Consider the following 26,983-nt stretch of genomic DNA (forward strand, 5'->3'; position numbering starts at 1 on the left):
CCTTCCTCTCTCTCTCTCTTTCTTTCTCTTGATCCCTTTATAATCTCTTGTTCATAGGGTAACCAAAGGGATCATTCTGAAATGTAAATTAGATTATGTAGCTTCCCAACTGAAAACCCTATGATTTTTACAGTGTCAAGTCTTATGTCTAAGTTTCTCATTCATTTTGAGTCAATATTGATGTATAGTGTAAGCTAAGAATCGAATCTCTTTTTTTTTTTTTGCATGTGGATTTCTAGTTTTCTCAACACTATTTGTTGAACAGATAATTCTTCCTTATTATGTATTCTTGTCATCCTTATCAAAGATACGTTGACCATATATGTGTAGATTTACTTTTGGGCTTTGTATTCTGTTCCATTGGGCTATATGTCTGCCTTTATAACAGAACCATACTGTTTTGATTATTGTAGATTTGTAATATATTTTGAAATCAGGAAATATGTTGCCTCCAGCTTTATTCTTTCTCAATAGTGATTTGACTATTCATGGCCTTCATGGTTTCATATGACTTTCAGAATTATTTTTTCTATTTCTGTACAAACTTCCATTGAAATTTTGATAGGTATTACATTAAATCTGTATTTCATTTTGGGTAGTATGAATATTTTAACAATTTAAAATCTTCCAAGCTCAGCATAGTGGCTCCACCTGAAATCTCAGCACTTTGGGAGGCTTGGGTGGGAGGACTACTTGAGGCTAGGAGTTCAAGAACAGCCAGGGAAACATAGCAATACTCTATCTCTACAAAAAATTAAAAACTAGCCAGGCATGGTGGTGCATCTCTAGGTACTAGAGTGGCTGAGGCCCGGAGGATGATTTGGGACCAGGAGTTAAAGGTTGCAGTGAACTATGATCATGCCACTGCACTGCATCCTGTATAACAGAGTGAGACCCTGTCTCTTAAAAGAGAGGGAGAAAAAAAAGAAAATTCTTCTAGACATAAATGTAAGAACTGAAGCTTTAAAACTCCTAGAATAAAACATATTAGAAAAGCTTATTGATATTGGTCTTAGCAATTATTTCATGTATATGACACCAAAAGTACAGTCAGCAAAAACAAAAATAAATGGGTCTATGTCAAACTAAAAAAGCTTCTGCACAACAAAGGAAACAATTGACAAAATAATAAGACAACCTATAGAATGGGAGAAAATGTTTGCAAATCATATACCTGATAAGGGTTAATATCCAAAAAACTGATTAAAAATGGACTAAGGACTTAAGGAGACATTTCTCCCAAGAAAACATACAAGGAAATGCAAATTATGACCACAATGAGATAACATCTCACACCTGTCAGGATGGTTATTACCAAAAAATCAAAAGCCAAGTGTTGGCAAGGATGTGAAGAAAAGGGAACATTGGCACACTCTTGGTGGAAATGCAAAGGTACAGCTGAGACAGGCAAGCTGGCAGGCTTCTGATTTTGATGTGGTTTAGAGAAAAAGAAAAAATGCCTCTCACTCAAGCTATAGCTGACCTAACTTCTAGCTAATCATCAAATAAAGACCCAAGAAGCTATTAATTACAGGTTCCTGCTTTAGGGGGCTAGGGACTTCCCTGGGACTCCACATGTGAAGATAGACTTGAACTTCAACTCACAGTTACCCCTTCCTCATTTTAATGCTAAAAATCATACCCAGGGGTGGAGATTTAAACTGCATATCTTCCATGCAATGTATTAAGAAGTGCATAAGGCCACTGAACAAGCACTAGAGAAACCCCTGCTATACAGGACCTGATGAAACCCTTCCCTATAGAAAGGACCTATAAAACTAATGCACATACTACTCTCAGGGAGCAGCCCACCCTTTTCTTTTTGTAGTGCTGACTTCCTTGTGCACAAGTGAAATAAATCTTTCTCTTTCTCTTTGCTGCTATGTCTAGTGATCTCTCTTTATTTCTATCCTGGGAGATTACAAGAACCCAGAGTGCCAATAGCACAGCCATTATGGAAAACAGTATGGAGACTCTCAAAAAATTAAAAATAGAACTACCATATGATCCAGCAATCCTACTTCTGAGTTTTTTATCCAAAAGAACTGAAATCGGTATCTCAAATTGATAGGAGCACTTCTATGTTCGTTGCAGTTGTATTCACAATAATCAAGATGTGGAAACACCCTGAATGTCTACTGATTAATGAATGGATAAAGAAAATGTACGCTATACATACAAGGGGATACTATTCAGATTTTTTAAAAAAGAAGGAAATTCTGCAGTATGTGACAACATGTATGAATTGGAAGACATTATGCTAATTGAAATATGCCAGTTATAGAAAGATAAATATATCACGATTCTATTATATGATGTATCTAAAACTAGGCAAATTCATAGAATCCCAGAAAGGGATGGTGGTTGTCAGGTGGGAAGACAGTGAAATGAGGAGTGACAAATTAAGTTTCAGTCAAGGAAGATGAATAAGCTCTAAAGATATTGTATACAATATGGTATCTATATTCAACAATATTATATTGTATAGGTAAAAATTTGTTACAATGATAGATCTCATGTCTTCTTACCAGAACTGAAACAATAACAAATACAAAAATGAATCCTCTGTTGGCATCCTGTCTTACTCAGAAAAGAAATCTAAAGCGCTTATCATTCCTTATGCACTCTGGCTCTCTGCCAGCTCTCAGATAAAATATACTACCATTCATCTCTATTCCAGCCATGACAAGAAACTTATTACTTCAAGGTCTTTGCATTGTCAGTCCCCTCCACCTGGAAAGGTTCTTCTCTCAGAAGTAGACATGATTGTCTTGCTCACTTCATTCCCTGGCCACTCTAATTAATTAAAATAACTGTCACCATCTCCATTATTTCCTCTACTCAATCTAAACAGTTTTCAATACTCATAATGCACTGAAAACTATAATTAGCCTATGGAATTGGCATTGACCTTGCTTTAATTTCTCATTTCTATCATCTCCCTTGCATTACCTGCTTTTGCTGCCATTGTTCTAAGTATTTCTAGGCTACATACACAGAAGTAATACATTCAGTGTTGTCTACCAAGTTACTACATTTCATAAAAATCAAAGAAAGATTTAATCAGCTGTTTATCTGCACTGAAAAAAAAAGATAGATAATTGGAGACCCATACAACCATTATATAAGTATGAAATAATTGGATTGGGGAAATGAAAGGAAAGACAAAGGGAATGCTTTTAAGTATTCCCTTTGAAAAATTAATCCCAACCAGGGTTTACTCTCTTACCTATTAGCTTGAGACCTAAGAGTTTAAGAAAGAAAAGAATGTGTCTGATTTCCATGAATAACTTGTACAGGGAAAGGTCAATTTAGAAAGGAAAGGGAAAGCATTATATTTTAATTTAGGTGCACTCACCAATGAATTCTCTATGTGATTAAAATAGTCTTGATCCTCACTATGCATTTATAGTGCTGTATAACTTACAGAATGCTTTTGTGTGCATTATCTCATTGAATCATCAAAAATCAATATTCGTGTTGTGGCTATGACTAGATTAACTAACTAACATCATCCCAAACAAAAGTTAATTTTGAATACTCCAAAGAATTGATGGCTGTTTGAGACAGGTGTTTCTGCCCAACTCTAGACTTCTGCGTAACAAAGTAGGTTATAATTAGAAGTGATTTAAAACAAAAACAAACCAAAAAAAAGGTCTTTGTCCTAGCTTTTCTACTCTCCTTACTTATCATGATCCATGAAAAAAGTTACCTTATCCACTTGCAAATGATTGAAAATATGTAACTAGAGATAATTTTCTTTATTGTAAACTTCATTTTCTCTTCATATAAAACTACATTGACCAGGTAGCTATTGAATTATTGAAATGTGGATAGTCTGAACTGAGATGTGTATAATATAAGTACTAGATTTTTAAAATGTAAAAGTAAGTTTTGTCTAATAATTTTACATTGATTACATGTAAATCAATGAAACTGATGATATTTTGTAAATATCATGCTAAAGTATATCACTCAAAGAAGTTTTTCCCTGTTTCTTTTTGCTTTTTTGATACAGTTACTAGGAAAATTTTAATTACATATATGACTCAAAATTGTGGCTCACATTATATTACTATCGAAGAGATCATTCAGAGAGGGCATATAACTTATAGATTCCTAAAATCTGGTTTAATTAGATGTAGTTAAGGAAGAAACAAATGAGAGTATCATGAAATTTATCCCAAGTTTAGAAAGAAAGACACAGGAAAGTGTGCAAGATATTTCGTATCAGAAAATTGGTAATAGAAGGCTTTATGATTGGCAATATTTACTGAGTGTTTACTAGGTACCTGGCATTGCACAAACTTTATCCCATTTAATACTTATAAAACCCCATGAGGTAGAGACTAAATAAGGTGAAACCCATTTTCTGTATTTTTTTCCACAGTCATTTGCCAAAATTTAGCTTCTCTTTCTCTTTCATTTTGTTGAACTCTATAATCTTGAGGCATTTTTTTTTTACTATAGTAACGTCCATTTAATTTTGGTATAGAATTAATACTAAAGAAACATTAAAACATTAAAAAGTGGTTAGGAAATGCATGTCTGCAGCAGACTCCTATAATCAATAAGAATAAAATATAAAAGAAAATGTTTCTTAAGTTTATACAGAGATATCATAGCTGCAGAGAAGGCCTAAATGGGACACTAGGCTACAAACACCTCTCCTTATCCACTCCTTGACTATTTCAGGCCTTATTTCCTAAAATAATGCAGTTGGTAATAACATTGATCCAAGACAGGTGTTGCATGCTGGTATTACCCTAAAGCACTGGCAGTCATTGATAACCAGACTATGGCTCAAGAACAGTTTGGGTATTGTCCTCCCATTCCTTTTTCCTATCTATCATTAGATTTTTGAGTATCTTTATTTTCTTATCTATTACTTAAAATATCTAGAAGTTATTTTAACTCTGCTTTTCCTGAAGATTAACATAAATGTTGTTATATGTTTTGCTCTCTCTCTCTTTCCACATTATCATGAAATTAGACCCCCCAATTGCAGTAGGAGTTTATGCTTCATTTTGTTCTGACATCTTCATTTGTATGAGCCACCACCAGGGAAACCTCATTAACTGTGAATTTGAAAGCTTCATATAAACTACAAGTCTCTCATAAATCTAATCTTATTACAGGAGACCCTTACATTCTCCAGGGATACCCGTTGAGACTTTCAAGAATTCTCAAAGTCAAGAACACTATTATAGCACATAATTTCTTTCTTAAAAATTCAGTAATGCAGAATAAAAAAATATATGAAAGGTCTCTTCAGACTCTTAATGGTTCTAATAACACAAAGCCAAAATCGTATATAAAGTCATTTGAGAGATAAGAATTGTTATTTTCTTCCACCTCTTTATTGCTCACCAACTTTATTGGTTGCCTACTGTCTGGGAAGTATTTCACAATGCAACAAAGTTTGCATCGTGTCATGAATGTAGCTGCATGGAAGATGATAAAGAGAGAACAATAAAAGCCCAAATTGGGATGAATTTTCAACTAGGAAAAATGGATGAGGAAGCTGATACCAGGTCACTAGCTGTGAAGCATAGAGATTCAATTTCAGTTGTGGTAAATTATGAATTATTACCAGTTATTGCAAATGAAGACTGTTTGTAAATAATGAAAAGAAATTTGTAATGCCAAATGTAAGGAACTACTACTCGAGCTATTTAATCAAAATTGAACTGATCGGGTATACAGTCATGTGCCACATTACATTTCAGTCAAAGAACCACACATACAATGGTGATTCCATAAGATTATAATACTGTATCTTTAATGTGCCTTTTTATGTTTAGATAAGTTTAGATACACAATACTTACCACTGTGTTACAATTGCCTCCAGTATTCAGTACAATAACATAATGTACAGGTTTGTAGCTTAGAAGCAATAGGTCATACCATATAGCCTAGATGTGTAGTAGGCTATACCATCTTAAGTTTGCTTAAGTACACTCTATAATATTTACACAATGAAATTGCCTAATGATGCATTTCTCAGAACATATCATAGTCAATAATCGGTGCATACATGTATTTGAATGCTAGTTGATCAATACAACATTCCTTGGAAAAAATGTTCAATTATTCTTAAATTTTTATTGATTCTCAACCTAGAGCAATACTTTATTGAGTGGCTAGTGGCTAATGTAGAAGCAAACAGATCAAAATTTAGCACCCCAAATTCAAAGCATCTGCACTCCTGACTTTCAATTGACAGTATATATTTGAAATCGCTGTCTAATATTCTCTGTCCATGGTGCCTTAATATCACAATTCTAACAAACTCTGAATCATCATCAGTCAGGTCCATTATATTGCAGTCTTACCTCCCTTAATAGCTGCTTATATCTTTACATCTTTTTAATGCATACCAGAAATCCCCAAAGTGAATTTCGCACATTCCATGTATCCTTTTTGCCTGATTGATGTTGTAACCAACAGTTTTGTTGAATGAAATATGAAGCATGAACTATTAAGTAGCATTTGAAAATCTTTGTTTTTTAAACATGTTTAATTTGATGATACTTTTGATACAAATAATGAGTTATCAGAGTTAGCCTCCTTTGTATTCTACTTCTATATAACATAATTTTCTTCCTCACTTAAGTCACACATCACTGAATGACAGGAATACTTTCTGAGAAATGCATCGTTAGTCAATTTTGTCATTGTGCAAGCACCACAGAGTACACTTACAGAAACATAGATGGTACAGCCTACTACACACCTAGGCTAAATGGGATAGCCTATTGTTCCTGGGCTATAAACCTGTATGTATATTATGTTCCTGTACTGAATACTCTAGGCAGTGGTAACACAATGGTAAGTATTTTTGTACTTAAACATATATAAAATAGAAAAGATACAGTAAAAATATGATATAAAAGATTAAAAATTGTACATCAATATAAGGCACTTACTATGAATGAAATTTGAAGGACTGGAAGTTGCTTTGGATGAGTCAGTGAGTGAATAGTGTGAGTGACTATGAAGGCCTAGGACATTACCGTATTCTACTGTAGGCTTTATAAACACTGTAAACTTTGGCTACATTCAGTGTATTAAAAAAATTTCTTTCTTCAATAATAAATTAAACTTAGCTTACCGTAACTTTATTACTTTATAAATGTTTTAATTTTTTGACTCTTTTGTTAATAACATAACTTAAAATGCAAATATGCTGTACAGATGTACAAAAATATTTTCTTTTTTTTTGTTTTTTTTTGGAGATGGAGTCTCGCTCTGTCACCCAGGCTGGAGTGCAGTGGCACGATCTTGACTCACTACAAGCTCCACCTCCCGGGTTCAAGTGATTCTCCTGCCTCAACCTCCCAAGTAGCTGGGATTACAAATGTGCACCATCACACTCAGCTAATTTTTTGTATTTTAGTAAAGGCACTGTTTCACCATGTTGGCCAGGCTGGTCTCAAACTCCTGACCTCAAGTGATCTGCCAGCCTTGGCCTCCCAAAGTGCTGGGATTACAGACGTGAGCCACCACACCAGGCCAAATATTTTCTTTATATCCTTGTTCTATAAGCTTTTTTTTCAATGTTTAAAATTTTTATTTTTATTTTTACTTTTACTATTTAACTAAGACCCAAGAGCACACATAAACATAGGCCTACACAGGGTCATGGTCATCAACATCACTGTCTTCGACCTCCACGTCTTGTCCCACTGGACTTCAGGGGTAGTGCACATGAAGTTGTCAACTCCTTTGGTAACAATGCCTTTGTTTGGAATACTTCCAAAAGGACCTACCTGAGATTGTTTTACAGTAAACTTTTTTTAATAAGTAGAAGGAATATACTCTAGAATAATGATAAAATGTATATTATAAACCATTGATATTGTCATTTCTTATCATTATCGAGTTTTATATACATAATTATATGTACTATACTTTTATACAACCACCAATGCAGTAGGTTTATTTAAACCAGCACCACCACAACAAGTGAGTAATGTGTTGCACTACAAAGTTATGACAGCTACGACCTCACTAGGTGAAACAAGTTTTTCAGCTTCATTATAATCTTATGAGACCACTGTATATATGTGGTCCATAGTGGATCTAAAGTCCTTATGGGGCATGTTGACTATTTGTTCCGTGGGTCTGATACAGTCTTTCATGAGTAGTTATTAATGATTTATGATAGAGGCCCTCCAAAATATTCATTAATACATCTTTCCCTTTCTTCTTACAATCACTTTCTCTGAACTATACACCCACATGCACATAAACACACAATTTACATCTGAGGCTAGATATTTAATAATTTTTAATTCACACAGATTATAAATTAATGAACAACATGATACTTCTTTAATTGAAGAAGTGTACTTTCAGAGTAAAATAAATGTTAACTAACCTTATTTGTATTTCAGGGATTCAGCTTCCCTCCCTTCTAACTAACTTAAATGCCACACTGTGTTTCCGGATTTGTTAACAACTCCAAGCACATTTCCCTCCCCTTGCCTCTGTCAACCCCACAAGCTGTTCCTTCTGACTTCAAAGTGTAAATATTTTTGCTTCATCATCAGTTTTCTAGTCTGAAGGGAGAGTTGGCTCACCTAAAAAGAAACAGTACTTCGCAACAAAAACAATAGAATAGAGATGCTAATCAATGCTTCCTTTTAAAATATGTATGCCTTTTCCTCCAAAAATAAAAAAGGAAAATTTCTTTTATAAAAGAATAGAGGCAACGTGTGAAACAGACCTTCAAATATTATTAATTATATTTTTTAAATTCAAGTTATTGAAATCAGACAGCACAATTAGCTGAATTACTTATGCATTCAGACAGTTATTTAGATCAGGTATTTAATATTTTCCAAAAATTAAAATGTTTGTAAACAAAAGTTCCCAAGTTACTCTCATGCTTTGTGCAGTTACCTCGATGTAGCTGGATGATGTATGCAAAAGTATCACCTTTTAAATATTGGCTTTGCTTTCGATGAACAGGCTCTAATCCTTTTGGCTTCCCTGTTCTTAGCTCTTAGTGCACGTAATCAATCTTTCCTGTTTATCCTGAAGATCAACACTGATGATCTTACAACCTGAGACAACATAGTGTTGAGCTTAATCTAAAATGCAAATGTTGCAGTGTTTCAAACACATCACCAAAAGACAATGTTCATTTCGTATTTACTTTGTAAACTTCCTTTGCTAGCTGGCTGGCTGGATTCTGGTCAACTTTGGACTCTGCAGGAATATGAAACATTAATTATACTTGGGTCCATTTTTTTGATTTCTTAAATCCACACTTCAAATGAAAGATGCGAAGAAGAAAGAAACAGACTTTAATCAAACATTTTTAAGATGCCATTTAATTGTGTAAGTCATTTGAATTGGTTCTCCTTGGTTTTCTTCACATTGTTCTAGTCAGTCATTGAAGGAGTTGCATTAAACTTCTAAGATTGTTGTGTTTATTGTGAACAAATGAAAATAGACCAGTTTTTTTTTGTTTTTTTTTTTTGTTTTTAGTATCTTGCTTGGCAGTGCATTAAGTGTTGTCCTACAATATGTTCTTTGCTTTTTCCCAGGCACTTACTAAATACATTTCATCCCTCATTTTACAAGTGAAGAGAGAGTGGCACAGACGAAGCAACACGCTGAAAGTCACAAAGCTTAAGCAGTCAGGCATTGTTCTCTACGGCCAGTCATGCTTGTTGTTCTGGCTTATGAAAGTTTTATTTCTGCTCCATTAGACAAAGGCCCTTAAAAATTACCTTTATATGCTTACATATATATATATTTATACTTTAAATTCTAGGGTACATGTGCACAACGTGCAGGTTTGTTACATATGTATACATGTGCCATGTTGGTTTGCTGCACCCATTAAGCTGTCATTTGCATTAGGTATTTCTCCTGACGCTACCCCTCCCCCATCCTCCAACCCCATGACAGTGTGTGATGTTCCCCACCCTGTGTCCAAGTGTTCTCACTGTTCATTTCCCACCTATGAGTGAGAACATGTGGTGTTTGGTTTCCTGTCCTTGTGATAGTTTGCTCAGAATGATGGTTTCCAGCTTCATCCATGTCCCTACAAAGGACATGAACTCACCCTTTTTTATGGATACATAGTATTCCATGGTGTATATTTGCCACATTTTCTTAATCCGGTCTATCATTGATGGACATTTGAGTTGGTTCCAAGTCGTTGCTATTGTGAATAGTCCCACAATAAACATATGTGTGCATGTGTCTTTATAACAGCATGATTTATAATCCTTTGGGTATATACCCAGTAATGGGATCACTGGGCCAAATGGTATTTCTAGTTCTAGATCCTTGAGGAATTGCCACACTGTCTTCCATAATGGCTGAACTAGTTTACAGTCCCACCAACGGTGTAAAAGCATTCGTATTTCTCCACATCGTCTCCAGCACCTATTGTTTCCTGACTTTTTAATGATCACCATTCTGACTGGTGTGAGATGGTATCTCATTGTGGTTTTGATTTGCATTTTTCTAATGGCCAGTGATGGTGAGCATTTTTTCATGTGTCTTTTGGTTGCATAAATGTCTTCTTCTGAGAAGTGTCTGTTCATATCCTTTGCCCACTTTTTGATGGGGTTGTTTGATTTTTTTCCTGTAAATTTGTTTAAGTTCTTTGTAGATTCTGGATATTAGCCCTTTGTCACAGGGGTAGATTGCAAAAATTTTCTCCCATTCTGTAGGTTGCCTGTTCACTCTAATGATAGTTTCTTTTGCTGTGCAGAAGCTCTTTAATTAGATCCCATTTGTCAATTTTGGCTTTTGTTGCCATTGCTTTTGGTGTTTTGCCCATGAAGTCCTTGCCCATGCCTGTGTCCTGAATGGTATTGCCTAGGTTTTCTTCTATGGTTTTTGTGGTTTTAAGTCTAACATTTAAGTCTTTAATCCATCTTGAATTAAATTTTGTATAAGGTATAAGGAAGGGATCCAGTTTCAGCTTTCTCCATATGGCTAGCCAGTTTTCCCAGAACCATTTATTAAATAGGGAATCCTTTCTCTATTGCTTGTTTTTGTTAGGTTTGTCAAAGATCAGTTCAATCAGGCAAGAGAAAGAAATAAAGGGTATTCAATTAGGAAAAGAGGAAGTCAAATTGTCCCTGTTTGTAGATGACATGATTGTATATTTAGAAAACCCCATTGTCTCAGCCCAAAATCTCCTTATGCTGATAAGCAACTTCAGCAAAGTCTCAGGATACAAAATCACTGCAAAAATCACATGCATTCCTGTACTCTAATAACAGACAAAGAACCAAATCATGAGTGAACTCCCATTCACAATTGCTACAAAAAGAATAAAATACCTAGGAATCAAACTTACAAGGGATGTGAAGAACCTCTTCAAGAACTACAAACCACTGCTCAATGAAATAAAAGAGGACACAAACAAATGGAAGAACATTCCATGCTCATGGATAGGAAGAATCAGTATCATGAAAATGGCCATACTGCTCAAGGTAATTTATAGATTCAATGCCATCCCCATTAAGCTACCAATGATTTTCTTCACAGAACTGAAAAAAACTACTTTAAAGTTCATATGGAACCAAAAAAGAGCCCATATTGCCAAGACAATCCTAAGCAAAAAGAAGAAAGCTGGAGGCATCACACTACCTGACGTCAAACTATACTACAAGGCTACAGTAACCAAAACAGCATGATACTGGTACCAAAACAGATATATAGACCAATGGAACAGAACAGAAGCCTCAGAAATAACACCACACATCTACAACATTCTGATCTTTGAAAAATTACCTTTATATTCTATAGAAAATACCAATGTCAAGTTGGAAGTTAGAACTGTGAAAATCATTAATTACAATTCACTTAAGCATTGATTGTTTAAAACCAAAGATGGGATTATTTCAAGTTACACTACGAACTTTCCCCCATCCTTTTTACTTCTCCATAATTACAAAGTTATTATATGAATAGCCCTTAGCCCACTATATCTTCCTCTTCCTTCCCCAAGGGTTACTGCAATCAGTATGGCACATGTGCATCACACCATATACATATATCATAAGGCATATATGATCATATGGAAATGTACGATTTAGTTTTATGTTTTTAAAAAATGGAAGACTGTAGTTTGTTTTGTAACTTGCTTTTTTACTTAATAATATATCTTGGGCACCTTTATTTCAGTATATTTAAATCTGTCTCTGCCGCATTCTTCTAAAATGCTTTATAGTATGGGTTTTTCTGATTTATTTAATCATCCTCCTATTAATAGATATCTAGATTTCTTCCATGTGTTAATTATGTGAGATAGTGCAACAATGATTATTCTCATGAATGCACATATGGTTTTTTTTTTAATAAGACAGATAATGTTAAGTGGAATTGCTAGGTCAAAAAGTACACATACAAGGCACAAGATAATTATTTTTCTCACACTCTCTGCTTAATTAAAATATTTTTTTCATTTTTGCCCCTGGTGAATTAAAATAAATTTTGAATATTCTTGAATTTTAGTGAGATTAGGTAGGCCTTTGTGTATTTATTGGTTATTTAGATTTCTGTAAATTTTCTATTTATTGTATGTTTCTCCTCAACATACAATGGGGAAACAGGATCATTTGTCCACTTTTCAGAATCTTCATTTTTAAGGAAAAGTTCTAGCATCTGAGCTAAAAAAGCATTTCCTTTCAAGTTTAATTGCTTAAAAATCAAGGTCTTGGTGTTATCCTCTAGAAAGAATTTGGATGTGATACTTCATTTTTGTACAGTCAGAAGCACTCACATATCTTCTTGTTTCTGTCTTGCCAAAGACTACACACTCAACCTATTTAGTAGGCATGCTTGCCAACAGATTCTAATTCTGATGGCTCTTCCCTTAAAAGAAAACAAATATCTCTCAAATCCGATATTATTATGATGTTTATACTCCCAGAAAAGTCTGAAAATGTAAGAAATTCTGGTGGATAATTTAGAGGTTTATTCTTTTCATTTTGAGGGCGTTTGGGGGCAGCTCAGTCTTAAAAGAATTATTACTCTATAGAATATTAACATTTGTTTATTAGACTTCTCTTGGCTCTGCCAGTCATGACCTACTTAGCATAAAAATGGTTATGTTAAATCAACTTGATAGCACTGGATAAGTTCCAAAATGCAATGTCTGTACGCATGTAAAGATATGCTGACTCAAACTAAGTACCTAAAGCATCTAAGTAACTTTTTGCATGATTTTGAGGATAGAAAAATAATTTAGAAGCTAGAGATAATCCCAAGATTTTGCTGATAAGAGAATAGAATTATGCCCTGGAATGTACTTCCTTGGGGAGTAAGACAAAGAACGTAGCTCTTTATAACAGTCTCATATAATTAAACTGATATGGAAGCATTGAGACCTATCAGAAAGTTTTTAGAGTACCAGCTTATTAAAGAATCACCATTTTGATCATCACAAAGACTCCAGATATATTACAGCATGGCTAATATGCCAAATTCTAATGCTAGAAACTTCTAAAAGAAGAATTTACATTTTTAGAGAGTATTTGAACGTTTTTATCCAGTTTTTACCATTAAAATTAGAACGCTGTTAAAAACATTTAGAAATCTAAAAAGTACTTTATGTATTTAAAAAATTATCTGTTTTCCTATGACTGATAAGCTACTACATATCTAAATTTCTGTTAAAGGATTTTAAAAATATATTTTCATGACAACAAAAAGATTGTGGATATTTTCATCACATATGTGACATCTGGTATCTTCTTTGCTGCCAAGATCTATAAATGACTTAAACTGTCACTTAACTTTGAAAAAAGCAACCTTAATAAAGAAGCCAAAAAACCTAAAGTATATAATCAATATAGCAACAACTGTACAAAGCTCTAATATTGGTGGCTACCGAAAATAAATTTATGACAGAGAAAAAAATTTAAGGTTAGTTAAAATTCAAAGTAAGAAAATAAAAAATAGCAAATTTATTCATTTGTATTTAGTATAATCTTATGGTCTCATACAGTTAATGGCTTATATTAGAGGCCCAGTTATCTATTGCTGAATAACAAATCACTGCAAAACTTAATAATTTAAAACGAGATAATTTTATTGTCTCCACCATTCTGTGAATCAACTAGGCCCAACTCCATGTGATGCCAACTGGGTCTGCTATATCCAAGATGGCTCACTACACGCCTGGCACTTTGGTGAAGAAAGCTGAGTATCTCAGCTCAGCTGCTGGGATGCTGTGACAACTGCATCTCCAAATCGACTCTCCAACAAAATAGCCAACATTTTTACATGGCAGCGTGGAGCTATCCTAAAAAGCAAAGCAGAACCTACCAGTCCTTCTTAATTTTTTAATTTTAATTTTTATTTTTCTTTGAGACGGAGTCTCGCTCTGTCGCCCAGGCTGGAGTGCAGTGGCGCCATCTCCGCTCACTGCAAGCTCCGCCTCCCGGGTTCACACCATTCTCCTGCCTCAGCCTCCCGAGTAGCTGGGACTAAGGGCGCCAGCCACCATGCCCAGCTAATTTTTTGTATTTTTAGTACAGACGGGGTTTCACCGTGTTAGCCAGGATGGTCTCGATCTCCTGACCCCATGATCCACATGTCTCGGCCTCCCAAAGTGCTGGGATTACAGGCGTGAGCCACTGCGCCCGGCCAGAACCTACCAGGCCTTCTTACGGCTTACACCAGAAACTGGCCCAGAAACACTTGTACTACATCTAATTGCTTAAAGCAAATCACAGAGATAGCACATATGTACTATGGTAGAACTTAGCGACTAGGAGAGCTGGTTCATTGGGGCTATTTTTGGAGAGTAGCTACCACACTTAGTCCGCTAGCCAAGGATGATGCATTTTCCTCTCACTTTCAAAATAACACTTACCAATCTGCCTAAACCCCCAAATCTCATCACCATCAGTATTATACTTTAAGTTCAGAATCTCATCATGTAAATCAAGTCAAGCTGCTGTATTTAGCAACTGGCTTCTAAAGCAAATAGATTGAGGCTAGTAGGGTGAGGGTGGAACTTCCTCTTGATCAGAAGACCATCAAATAAAGAAACCAGCTATATGCCCACACATTTCCACCTTACGATGAGGAGACATGATCAAGAGAACCACAATACATACCTCCACTTAAAAAGAGGCAGGACAATGTGAGTGACATTGTAGTCACTGGGATGAGAAAATTCTGAGATCCAGTAGGAACAAGCTACCTACCATTTCACCTGGCTCAGGAGGCAGGGCATATGTTGATTAGGACCCATATATGTTCCCTGGGGTGGTTCTTCTTGACGCCTGGCAGCACACCATGAACTCTTTAATGACATATGTTTGCAGCTGCATAGTGTTCTTAGCCTGCTTTCTGCCCATAAGAAGTTGGGGACGCAAAAGTGTTTTTATGTTTTGAGCAGTGTCTGTTCCTTTCAGTCCAGGCTATTATAATTCCTTTTAAAATATGTGGACTTGTGTACAAATTATAATCCAATTCATTAGACAAAAGTGACGTCCACCTATTTCTCTGAGTAGAGTCTTTCTCTATTTGGGGTTACTTGTGAAGACCCTCACAGCAGAGAGGGCCAAAGAGTCTTGTCCTTAAAATTCTTAGAAGCAATTTCTGCTGAGAGGAAAATGAGACACTCTTCCACAATTTCCTGAAATCTCAACCAAATTACAACCATAGCTTTGGTTTGATTGTGAGCCTGAGGCCACAGATTTTACTGGCAGCACTCTGGGTTTGACCTCATTCCCTGAATTTTTTCCCATCACCACCAAAAATTATTTCATGCTTTTTTTTTTTTTGCAGTGAATGTTCCCCACCCCTGGCAAAAAACGATCTTCTGTTTTGCCTTTCTGTAATTTAATATAAATGAAATGATACAGTATTTACTCTTTAATATCTGGCTTCTTTGGCTAAGCATAATGCTTTTGAGAGTCATTTATGCTTTTTTGTAAAATGGTTGTTCAAACCTTTCTCTCTCTTTTTAATCATTTATTTGTCTTATTGTCAAGCTGTCAAGGGTTTTTTTAGTGTATTACAAATACAAGCACTTTGCCAGATATATGTATCTCTAACATTTTCTCTCAGATTGGCACTTTTGTTTTCATTTTCAATAGAATGTTGTGTTTTCTTTTCAACTGGTTTAAATTGTTTTCTAATTTTCCTTGTGATTTTTGTCTTTGACCCATGTATTCTTTAAAAGTATATTGAACAAATGCCAAATAACGGGGGACTTTTTCTGTATAACTTTTTGTTATTTATTTCCAATCAATTCATTCATCAATGAATGTATGTCCATAATTTGTCTATGCTTCTAAATTTGTCAAGACTGTTTTTTATGCTCCAGGATATATTCTGTGGTAGGCAGTTTTTAAGATGTTCCACCTGTAATCACTGGCTCCTGCATTTAGGTCCTTGTGTAACCCCTGACTTTGATTGTAGGCGGATTTAGTGACTAGCTTCTAGGAAATAGAATAAAGCAGATGTGATGGAATCTCATCTCTGAAATTAGGTTATAAAATGACTACAGCTTCTGTCTTAGATACTCTTTCTTGGACCTCTCATTCTTGGGGGAAGCCAGCTGCCATTTTGAGAGACAGCTCTGTGCAGAGGCTCATGTGACTGACCTGGATCAGAGCATCTGGGGCCTGCCCCAAGGCGGGTGAATTACTTTGAAAGTAGAACCCCTCTGAGTCAGCAATTTTGATGAATGTAGCCCCAGCTGACACATTGACTGAGGTAGCATCATAAAAGACCCATAGCTAGAACCACCGAGTTAAGCTGCTCCCAGATTCTTGACTCACAGAAACTGTGCCATAATGAATGTTTGCTGTTTATACTTATTAAGTTTTGGTAAAATTTTTTATGCAACAATAGATAACTAACATAGATATTGGTTATACTTCTTGGTGAATGTTCTGTTTCAACTGTAATTGTGAATTTCCCTGTTTATTTGTTTACATTAATAGGTTTTTATTTCATGTATCTTAACATTCTCTTATTAGTTGCATACACATATAAGAAATGTGATATCTTCTTGATGAATTGATCATTATTGTTATAAAATTTCCGCCTTTATATCTGGTAATATTCCTTGCCCTAAAGTCCATTTTATATGGCCTCTCCAGCTTTCTTTTGAACAATGTTACAATTATATATATATATTTTCCCATTCTTTTAACTTTTCTGCATTTTTATATTTACAATACATTTTCTGTAGACAGCATACAGTTGAGTATTTTTTATTTACGTTGAAAATTTCTGCTTTTAAATTGGAGTATTTACCCATCTACATTAAAGTGGTTATTGATGTGTTTGAGTTTAAATTTAACACCTTGGGTTTTTTTTTTTTCTGTTTGTTTCATTTTTACTTTTTTGCTTATTTCCTGCCTTACATTAATTGCAAATATTTTCAGATTTTGTTTTATCTACACAATTATCTTATTAGTGTTACCTCATTTATCTACTTTTAGAGGTTGCTTTAGGTTTACAATATTGGTTTGTAATTTGTGGCAGAGATGTTTCAAATAATATTATGCCACTTTGATATATAGGCCATTCTTCATAATAATACCTGAGACATTACATTCAGGAAAGCACATTTTTCAATGAAAATTTCCAGGGCTGAAAATACAAGACAGAGAAAAGATTTGTCATATCACTACATAGCCTAATAAGGACTAAGTCTTTATTCAAACAATTATATTGTTAATTAAAAAGACAATTTTGGCTATCTGGGAATAGCATGCTAATTACTCTTTTAGACTATGGAAACTATTTTTAGTGCTGGACTGAGAGCTGGAAAGCAAGGGCTGCTTACCAGATAATGGACAAACACCACTGTGCTCAGTTATCTTTACGTTCTTTCAGACTTCCATATTCAATTAATAATTATTTATATGATAAAAAGAGTGGTTATTTGTTTATTATTTTTAAAACACCATTTGGGTTCTCTGAATAGAATGATTTGCTAAAGATTGCTTTTTCAGATTAGAGTACATATGGAAAGGCCATAGACATCCAGAGTTCTATAATTGTTTCCAGAGGGGTGACTAGGTTCCCCAATATATGAATCACAAGAATCTACTCTTTGCACAATCAAGATTGTAGGAATGCTGTTCTACTTACTATTACAAAGGCTGGACCTTGACAAATGTACATTGACAAATGTACAAATGCAGAAACACTACTGGGTTGGTTTCCAGAATTTGGTTAATTGAAGATATACCTAAACTGAGTGTAGAAATCTCAATGCAGTCTCAGTGCTGAAGGAATTTTTGAGCAAATGCTGGTGGAATTATATGTGTGTGTATGTATATTTCAAAACCAATGCTCAGAAGTAGCAAATCAGTCAGTACTATCTAACAAACAGAAGCAAATATAAAAAGAAAGATGCCTTCTGACAATCTTCCCTATAGCACAGAATATAGGAAATGAATTTGGAACTGAATTGGATTTTTTAAATGAGCTAGTTTTCCTCCTTCTCAATGGTAGATTTATATATAATCAACGAACATCTGTTTCCATTCTTTTACTATCAACATGTGTTTTTATAATTAAAATACATTATCTGTAGACAACATGTAGTTGGGTCTTAATTCCTTTTATTCAGTCTAACAATTTCTGCCTTTTATTGAAGTGCTTACCCATTTACATTTAATGTGATTATAGACGCCGCCTCTTTCAGGGAATCTACTTATTGGATAAATTTGAAAATTTCTCATGTTTAACTCTTTTAGATTTGCCAGCCCATTTAAAGCAGGCAGACATCCTAAGGTATACCACGACAGTGATCTGATCTTTTTTGTCATATATAAGCCATGTGTTCATTAAAAGGAAGTTCCCAGGGCATAATGTTTCATTTTCCTTATGTGTGCAGTTTTGTATTTTATTTTTAGTAAGTTATATATGACAGTACTTCATCCAGTTCGACTATACTGAAGTGTTTATTAAAGTCTAGTCCTAAAAGTCACTCAAGTGGAATTTTTTTTTTTTTTTTTGCTAAAAAAATGGAAGGAATTGGAGAATAAAGAAATAATACCTATTGGGTTGCTTGAACCCGGGTTTTCATTTTATGATGCTAATTTTATTATACTGCACAGAAGCAGATTCATCTAATTCAGGAGCAACTTCATGTGTTATATCTGCAGGATGTACATAGTCAGTTGTTACAACATTATCTCTCTCCTGAGAAACATAGGCAAAGATTCCATGAAAGAAAATTTCTGCAGAAAACTGAAACTACAGACTGCCTACATGTGATGATCAGTCAATCTGTCAAAAAGGTAGTTACTGAGCACATTCAGGGTTCAACGTGTTCCTCTAAGTGCCTGATCTCACTTACTTTTGACTTTATCATCTTTCAGAAGGAATTAAAAGCCCTTCTCCCTGACTGATCCTTCTTTAGGCATTAAACAATGATAAAATATATCCTTAAATAGAGTTTAACTTCAGACACCTTCCCTTTAACATCACAACCTCCTCAAATCTCTCAGTGAGTTAACAACGAGTTTGAATTTATGCATTATTTTCCAGAGACAGAGACATACAAGTAGGTTTTTCAAGTCAATATTGGAGAAGAGATAGTTAGATTAACATAGTCTTCTGGATTTGCCAATCAGGTAGAGTTAATCATTACTCATTACTTCCCTCATTTTATTTTGCTCATTCATTTACCAAATAAAATTTTAAGTCACTGAAAAATATACTATATTGCACAGAATAAAACACTGTCTCTGAATTGAAGAGCTCCAATGAGAAATAGTATTTCTAATGTGGTGTAGGAAGTGCTATAATACGGGTATGAATTGAAGCTCAAAATTCATTTTTATCAAAAATAGTGGAGCTTGTCAATCTGCAAATCAAATGAGTTAAAGCTGTGAAATATAGGAAAAATTTCATAACCTCTCTTGGCCTTTAGTTGCTCCACCAGTAAGAGACATTTAGAAGAGACCACCTGTAAAGCTTAATGTTCTAATTATACTGTTTTATATAGCTTCAATTTTCCTAATAGTTCAAAAATTTCTGTTTCATAAAGAACAGCTCTAAAGGTATATTTCTTCCATAACTTTTTCTATCAAAAATTTATCTCCCCTGCATATCCTTGTTAATTTTCTGTCTTGTTGATCTGTCTAATATGGGCAGCAGAGTGTTAAAGTCTCCCAATATTATTGTGTGGGAGTCTAAGTCTCTTTGTAGGTCTCTAAGAACTTGCTTTATGAATCTGGGTGATCCTGTATTGGGTGCATATATATTTAGGATAGTAGCTCTTTTTGTTTCATTGATCGCTTTACCATTATGTAATGCCTTTCTTTGTCTTTTTTGATCTTTGTTGGTTTAAAGTCTGTTTTATCAGAGACTATGTTTGCAGGCCCTGCTTTTTATTTTTCTTTCTCTTTGCTTGGTAAATATTCTTCCATCCCTTTATTTTGAGCCCATGTGTCTCTGCACAGGAGATGGGTCTCCTGAATACAGCACACCGATGGGTCTTTACTCTACCCAATTTGCCAGTCTGTGTCTTTTAATTGGGGCATTTAGCCCATTTATATTTAAGGTTAATATTGTTATGTGTAAATTAGATCCTGTAATTATGATGCCAGCTAGTTATTTTGCCAATTAGTTGACGCAGTTTCTTCATAGTGTTGATGGTCTTTACAATTTGGTATGTTTTTGCAGTGGCTGGTACCAGTTTTTCCTTCCCATATTTAGTGCTTCCTTCAGGAATTCTTGTAAGGCAGGCCTGGTGGTGACAAAATCTCTCAGCATTTGCTTGTCTGTAAAGGATTTTATTTCTCCTTCACTTATGAAGCTTAGTTTGGCTAGATGTGAAATTCTGGGTTGAAAATTCTTTTCTTTAAGAATGTTGAATATTGGCCCCTACTCTCTTCTGGCTTATAGGGTTTCTGCAGAGAAATCCACTGTTAGTCTGATAGGCTTCTCTTTGTGGGTAACCCAACCTTTCTGGTTGCTCTAAATATTTTTTCCTTCATTTCAACCTTGGCGAATCTGACAATTATGTGTCTTGGGGTTGCTCTTCTCGAGGAGTGTCTTTGTGGTGTTCTCTGTATTTCCTGAATCTGAATGTTGGCCTGTCTTGCTAGGTTGGGGAAGTTCTCCTGAATAATATCCTGAAGTGTGTTTTCCAACTTGGTTCCATTCTTTCCGTCACTTTCAGGTACACCAATCAAATGTATGATTGGTCTTTTCACATAGTCCTATATTTCTTGGAGGCTTTGTTTGTTCCTTTTCATTCTTTTCTCTCTAATCTTGTCTTCAAGCTTATTTCATTAAGTTAATCTTCAATCTCTGATATCCTTTCTTCTGCTTGATCGGTTTGGTTATTGATACTTGTGTATGCTTCACAAAGTTCTTGTGCCGTGTTTTTCAGCTCCATCAGGTCATCATGTTCTTCTCTCAAGTGGTTATTCTAGTTAGCAATTCATCTAACCTTTTTTCAAGGTTCTTAGCTTCCTTGCATGGGGTTAAAACATGCTCCTTTAGCTTGGAGGAGTTTGTTATTACCCACCTTCTGAAGCCTACTTCTGTCAATTCGTCAAACTCATTCTCCATCCAGTTTTGTTCCCTTACTGGTGAGGAGTTGTGATCTTTTGGAGAAGAAGTGTTCTGGTTTTTGGAATTTTCAGCCTTTTTGTGCTGATTTCTCCCCTTCTTTGTGGATTTATCTATCTTTTGTCTTTGATGTTGGTGACCTTTGGATGGGGTTTCTGTGTCTGGACATCCTTTTTCTTGATGCTGATGCTATTCCTTTCTGTTTGTTATTTTTCCTTCTAACAGTCAGGCCCCTCTGCTGCAGGTCTGCTGGAGTTTGCTGGAGGTCCACTCCAGACCCTGTTTGCCTGGGTATCACCAGTGGAGGCTGCAGAACAGGAAAGATTGTTGCCTGTTCCTTCCTCTGGAAGCTTTGTCCCAGAGGAGCACCAGCCAGATTCCAGCTGGAGCTCTCCTGTATGAGGTGTCTGTCGACCCCTCCCAGGAGGTGTCTCCCAGTCAGGTGCCACTGGGATCAGGTATCCACTTGAGGAGGCAGTCTGTCCCTTAGCAGAGCTGAAGCACTGTGTGGGGAGATTTGCTGCTCTCTTCAGAGCCAGCAGGCAGGAATGTTTAAATCTGCTGAAGCTCTGCCCAAAGAGAAGCAATCTATAGAGGCAGTCTGGCTACAGCAGCTTTGCCAAGCTGCAGTGTGCTCCACCCAGTTTGAACTTCCCTTCCCGGTGGCTTTGTTTACATTGTTAGGGGAAAACCGCCTACTCAAGCCTTGGTAATGGTGGACACCCCTCCCTGCACCAAGTACAAGCTCCCAAGTCAACTTTAGACTGCTGTGCTGGTAGCGAGAATTTCAAGCCAGTGGATGTTACCTTTTTGGGCTCCATGGGGGTGGGATGCACTGAGCTAGACCACTTGGCTCCCTGGCTTCAGCCCTCATTCCAGGGGAGTGAACAGTTCTGTCTCACTGGCATTCCAGGTTCCACTGGGGTAGGAAAAAAAACTCCTGCAGCTAGCTCAGTGTCTGCCCAAACAGCTGCCCAGTTTTGTGCTTGAAACCCAGGGCCCTAGTGGTGTAGGCACCCAAGGGAATATCCTAGTCTGTGGGTTGCGAAGACCATGGGAAAAGCATAGTATCTGGGCCGGAATGCACCATTCCTCATGACACAGTTCCTCACAGCTTCCCTTGGCTAGGGAAGGGAGTTCCCTGACCCCTTGCACTTCCCTGGTGAGGCAATGCCCCGCCCTGCTTTGGCTTGCCCTCCATGGGCTGCACCCACTGTCTAATCAGCCCCAGTGAGATGAGTGGGGTTCCTCAGTTGGAAATACAGAAATCACCCACCTTCTGCGTAGATCTCGCTGGGAGCTGTAGACTTGAGCTGTTCCTATTTGGCCATACTCCACCTCCTCTTCCATGCTCATGGATAGGAAGAATCAATATCGTAAAAATGGCCATACTGCCCAAAGTGATTTATAGACTCAATGCTACTCCCATCAAGCTACCATGGATTTTCTTCACAGAATTAGAAAAAACTACTTTAAATTTCATATGGAACCAAAATAGAACCTACATAGCCAAAACAATCCTAAGCAAAAAGAGCAAAGCTGGAGGTATGATGCTACCTGACTTCAAAGTATACTACAAGGCTATAGTAACCAGAACAGCATGGTACTAGGACCAAAACAGAGATATAGACCAATGGAACAGAACAGAGGCCTCAGAAATAATGCCACACATCTACAACCATCTGATCTTTGACAAACCTGACAAAAATAAGCAATGGGGAAAGGATTCCCTATTTAATAACTGGTGTTGGGAAAACTGGCTAGCCATATGCAGAAAATTGAAACTGGACCCATTCCTTACACTTCATACAAAAATTAACTCAACATGGATTAAAGACTTAAATATTAGACCTAAAACCTTAAAAATGCCAGAAGAAAAGCTAGGCAATACCATTCAGGACATAGGCATGGGCAACGACTTCATGACTAAAACACCAAAACCAATGGCAACAAAAGCCAAAATTGACAAATGGGATCTAATTAAACCAAAGAACTTCTGCACAGCAAAATAAACTATCATTAGAGTGAATAGGCAACTTACAGAATGGGAGAAAATTGTTGCAATCCATCTGACAAAGAGCTAATATCCAGAATCTACAAGGAACTTAAACAAATTTACAAGAAAAATCAAACAACCCCATCAAAAACTGGGTAAAGGATATGAACAGATACTTCTCAAAAGAAGACATTTATGCAGCCAAAAAAACATATGAACAAAAGCTCATCATCAATGGTGATTAGAGAAATGCAAATCAAAACCACAATGACATACCATCTCACACCAGTTAGAATGGCGATCATTAAAAAGTCAGGAAACAACAGATGCTGGAGAGGATGTGGAGAAATACGAACACTGTTACACTGTTGTTGGGAATGTAAATTAGTTCAACCATTGTGGAAGACAGTGTGGCGATTCCTCAAGGATCTAGAACCTGAAATACCATTTGACCCAGCAATCCCATTACTGGGTATATACCCAAAGGATTATAAATCATTCTATTATAAAGGCACATGCACACGTATGTTTATTGCAGCACTGTTCACAATAGAAAAGACTTGGAACCAACCCAAATGCCCATCGATGGTAGACTGGATAAAGAAAATGTGGCACATATACACCATGGAATACTATGCAGACATACAAAAGGATGAGTTCATGTCCTTTGCAGGGACATGGATGAAGCTGGAAACCATCATTCTCAGCAAACTAATACAGGAAAAGAAAACCAAACACCGCATATTGTCACTCATAAGTGGGAGTTGAACAATGAGAACACATGGACAGACGGAGGGGAACATCACACACCAGGGCCTGTTGGTGAGTGGAGGGCTAGGGGAGGGATAGCATTAGGAGAATACCTAATGTAGATGATGGGCTGATGGGTGCAGCAGATCACTATGACACATGTATACCTATGTAACAAACCTGCATGTTTTGCAGATGTATCCCAGAACTTAAAGTATATGTAAAAAAAAAATTCCCTTTTTTCCAGCAAAGTCCAGACTCTCATTTAGGCTATATCCCTCTTGCTTCTCAGTCTGCCTGAACTGAATGAAGTACATACCTATCTCCAGAACAAATGTGTAATCTTGACTGGTCCATCAGCACATTAAATCCTCTCACACACACACAATTCAGGGATTCATACACGACACAAAGCAGGCCAATCAGGGGAAACAAAACTCAGTTCTGTGGCTTCTGTTTGAGTCACTGCTGAAGCAGAAATGTTTCTTTTGTTTTTTAATGTCATGGCTCTGAAGATACTGAGCACTGTAATGGAACTGTGAATGTACTACCCAGATGAGGTAGAGCTGAGATGGAGTCTGTGGTGAGCTCTTTAATCCAGCACTTCTGAAAGAGCTCAACCCCTGGACTTCTCAGATTATATGTACACATGGGTACTTTTTAAAAAAACTTAGGCCTGTTTGAGAGGAGATTTCTATCTCTAACAACTGAAAGAGCCCTAACTTTCATAAGGTTTATCTATACAGGCATTCTAATTCTAAATCTTCAGATAGCAAAGGCAGTCACACTATCTATCTATCTATCTATCTATCTATCTATCTATCTATCTATCTATCTATCTATTATCTATCTATCTATCTACCTATCAATATCTTTCTACCTACCTACCTACCTACTTATCTATCTACCTATCATCTATCTACCTACTTACCTGTCATCTATCTACCTACCTAATCTATTATCTACCTACCTATTGTCTACCTACCTAATCTATTATCTACCTACCTATTGTCTACCTACCTAATCTATTATCTACCTACCTACCTATTATCTATCTTATCTATCTATCTATCTATCTATCTATCTATCATCTATCTATTTATCACCTATCTACCTGTCATCTATCTATCTGTCTTTCTATCTATCTGATATCCATGGTATACAGGAACAATTGCATAAAACTGAATTGAAATTTTGATCCTTAAGAAACAATACTTTCTGCAGCACACCAACATGGCACATGTATACATATGTAACAAACCTGCACGTTGTGCACATGTACCCTAAAACTTAAAGTATAATAATAATAAAATTTAAAAAAAAAAAAACAATACTTTCTCCAGATTGATACATTTAACTAGAGAGTTCTGTGTGGACTATATTTATCTTCTTTAGATCTTATTTGGTTTAATCTTTACCATATAAAAGGATTATAAAAATATAATCGTTAAAATATCTCAGTTCACTTTTAAAGTTAAAGAACAACTGGTGAACCAGGTTAGCCATCTTTTCCTCCTTATTCAAAAATCAGAGCCTTAAGAATACTACAAATATAGACCAAAAAAACCTAAGAATATCTTTAATGAAGTGACTCATTATATGAGTACTATGCTTAATATTATCATAAATAATATTAATAGCATTTAGAAAAGAGGGCAAAAGACTACTTATTTTTCATAATTAATTATTGTTAAATATTTTGAATTAGCCATTGTAATTACATATTATACCAATTTATGAAATTCCCATTTTCTTTTTCTGACAGGCTCAAGTTTGCTGACATTTAAGGCACTGAAAGTACCTCATCTTCTCATATGTACTCCCTCTTAGTAGGAGATCTTTTTAGGAAGCAGCTTTATTTATTATTAAAAGTTTGAATATTTTATAAAACATTAATGACTTTGATAGCTCTAGGTATTCAATAAGATATTTTGCACTATTTGCACCCTGGGACAATCCTCTCAAAAAGTGAAATTTTATAAACCACATGGATAAAAGTACATAAATAAATGTGGCATTCTTATTTTTCTCAGGTAACAGAAAGCAAAATTACCCTGTTCTAGCCTACATATTTGAACAGTAAGTAGAATCATAATATCTTCAACAGCTTGGCCATCTGTTATTGTTCCAAAAAGCTTCAGGGAATAGTCTGTGTAATGGAATGTAAAACATTATCAACTGCTATGGTCTGAAACGTTGTGAAATAGAATCTGTAAAACTTTGTAGCCAGATAAACCAATTCAGAAAAATAAAAAGTGAGCATAGAACCAAAATTTGGGAAAAATAAAAGGTAGGTTTGTTTATATCTAAACTTAAGTATTTAAAATGAATATACTGATACTGACAGCCAGTGTTGGTTGAGTATTCATTAGGTACCAAGTACTATTCTAAGTGGTTTTCTTGAATGAGCTTTCTTAAGCCTCACAACAATTCTCTAGGGCATGTTACTATGCTTGTTTTATGAACTAGAAAATTGAGAAAAAGGGAGATTAAATAATTTGCCCAAGACCAACAGTTAGAAATGGCAGGCTAAGGACTTCTGAAAATCTATTTCAGCATAAAGGCAATGACCACTAGCAAAATTTGTCAGAATCAACTTTTGCAGAACTCTAGAAATTAACGAAAAAGAAATCTTTTTTTTAAGAAAAGTGACTAAATCTTGATAAGAATGTGAGCTTTGTGACGTTTTGAAT

At 35.7% G+C, this 26,983-nt stretch overlaps 1 protein-coding gene across 12 annotated transcripts in view; it reads right to left on the minus strand.

Moving 5' to 3' along the window:
* The window catches only part of THEMIS (thymocyte selection associated), a 221,968-nt gene that overhangs the window by 63,246 nt on the left and 131,739 nt on the right, over nt 1-26,983 (minus strand). For 3 of the 12 annotated variants that reach the window (XM_047418767.1, XM_047418765.1, XM_047418763.1), the window contains one exon: nt 1-26,983. This exon is cut by the window's right edge and continues 20,476 nt beyond it. The exons of the other annotated variants lie outside the window; for them this stretch is intronic. The gene's annotated coding sequence lies outside the window, so the exon portion shown is untranslated. 12 annotated transcript variants of the gene reach the window in all.

Source organism: Homo sapiens, chromosome 6 (genome assembly GCF_000001405.40).
Source record: "Homo sapiens chromosome 6, GRCh38.p14 Primary Assembly".
NCBI classification, from domain to species: Eukaryota; Metazoa; Chordata; class Mammalia; order Primates; family Hominidae; genus Homo; species Homo sapiens.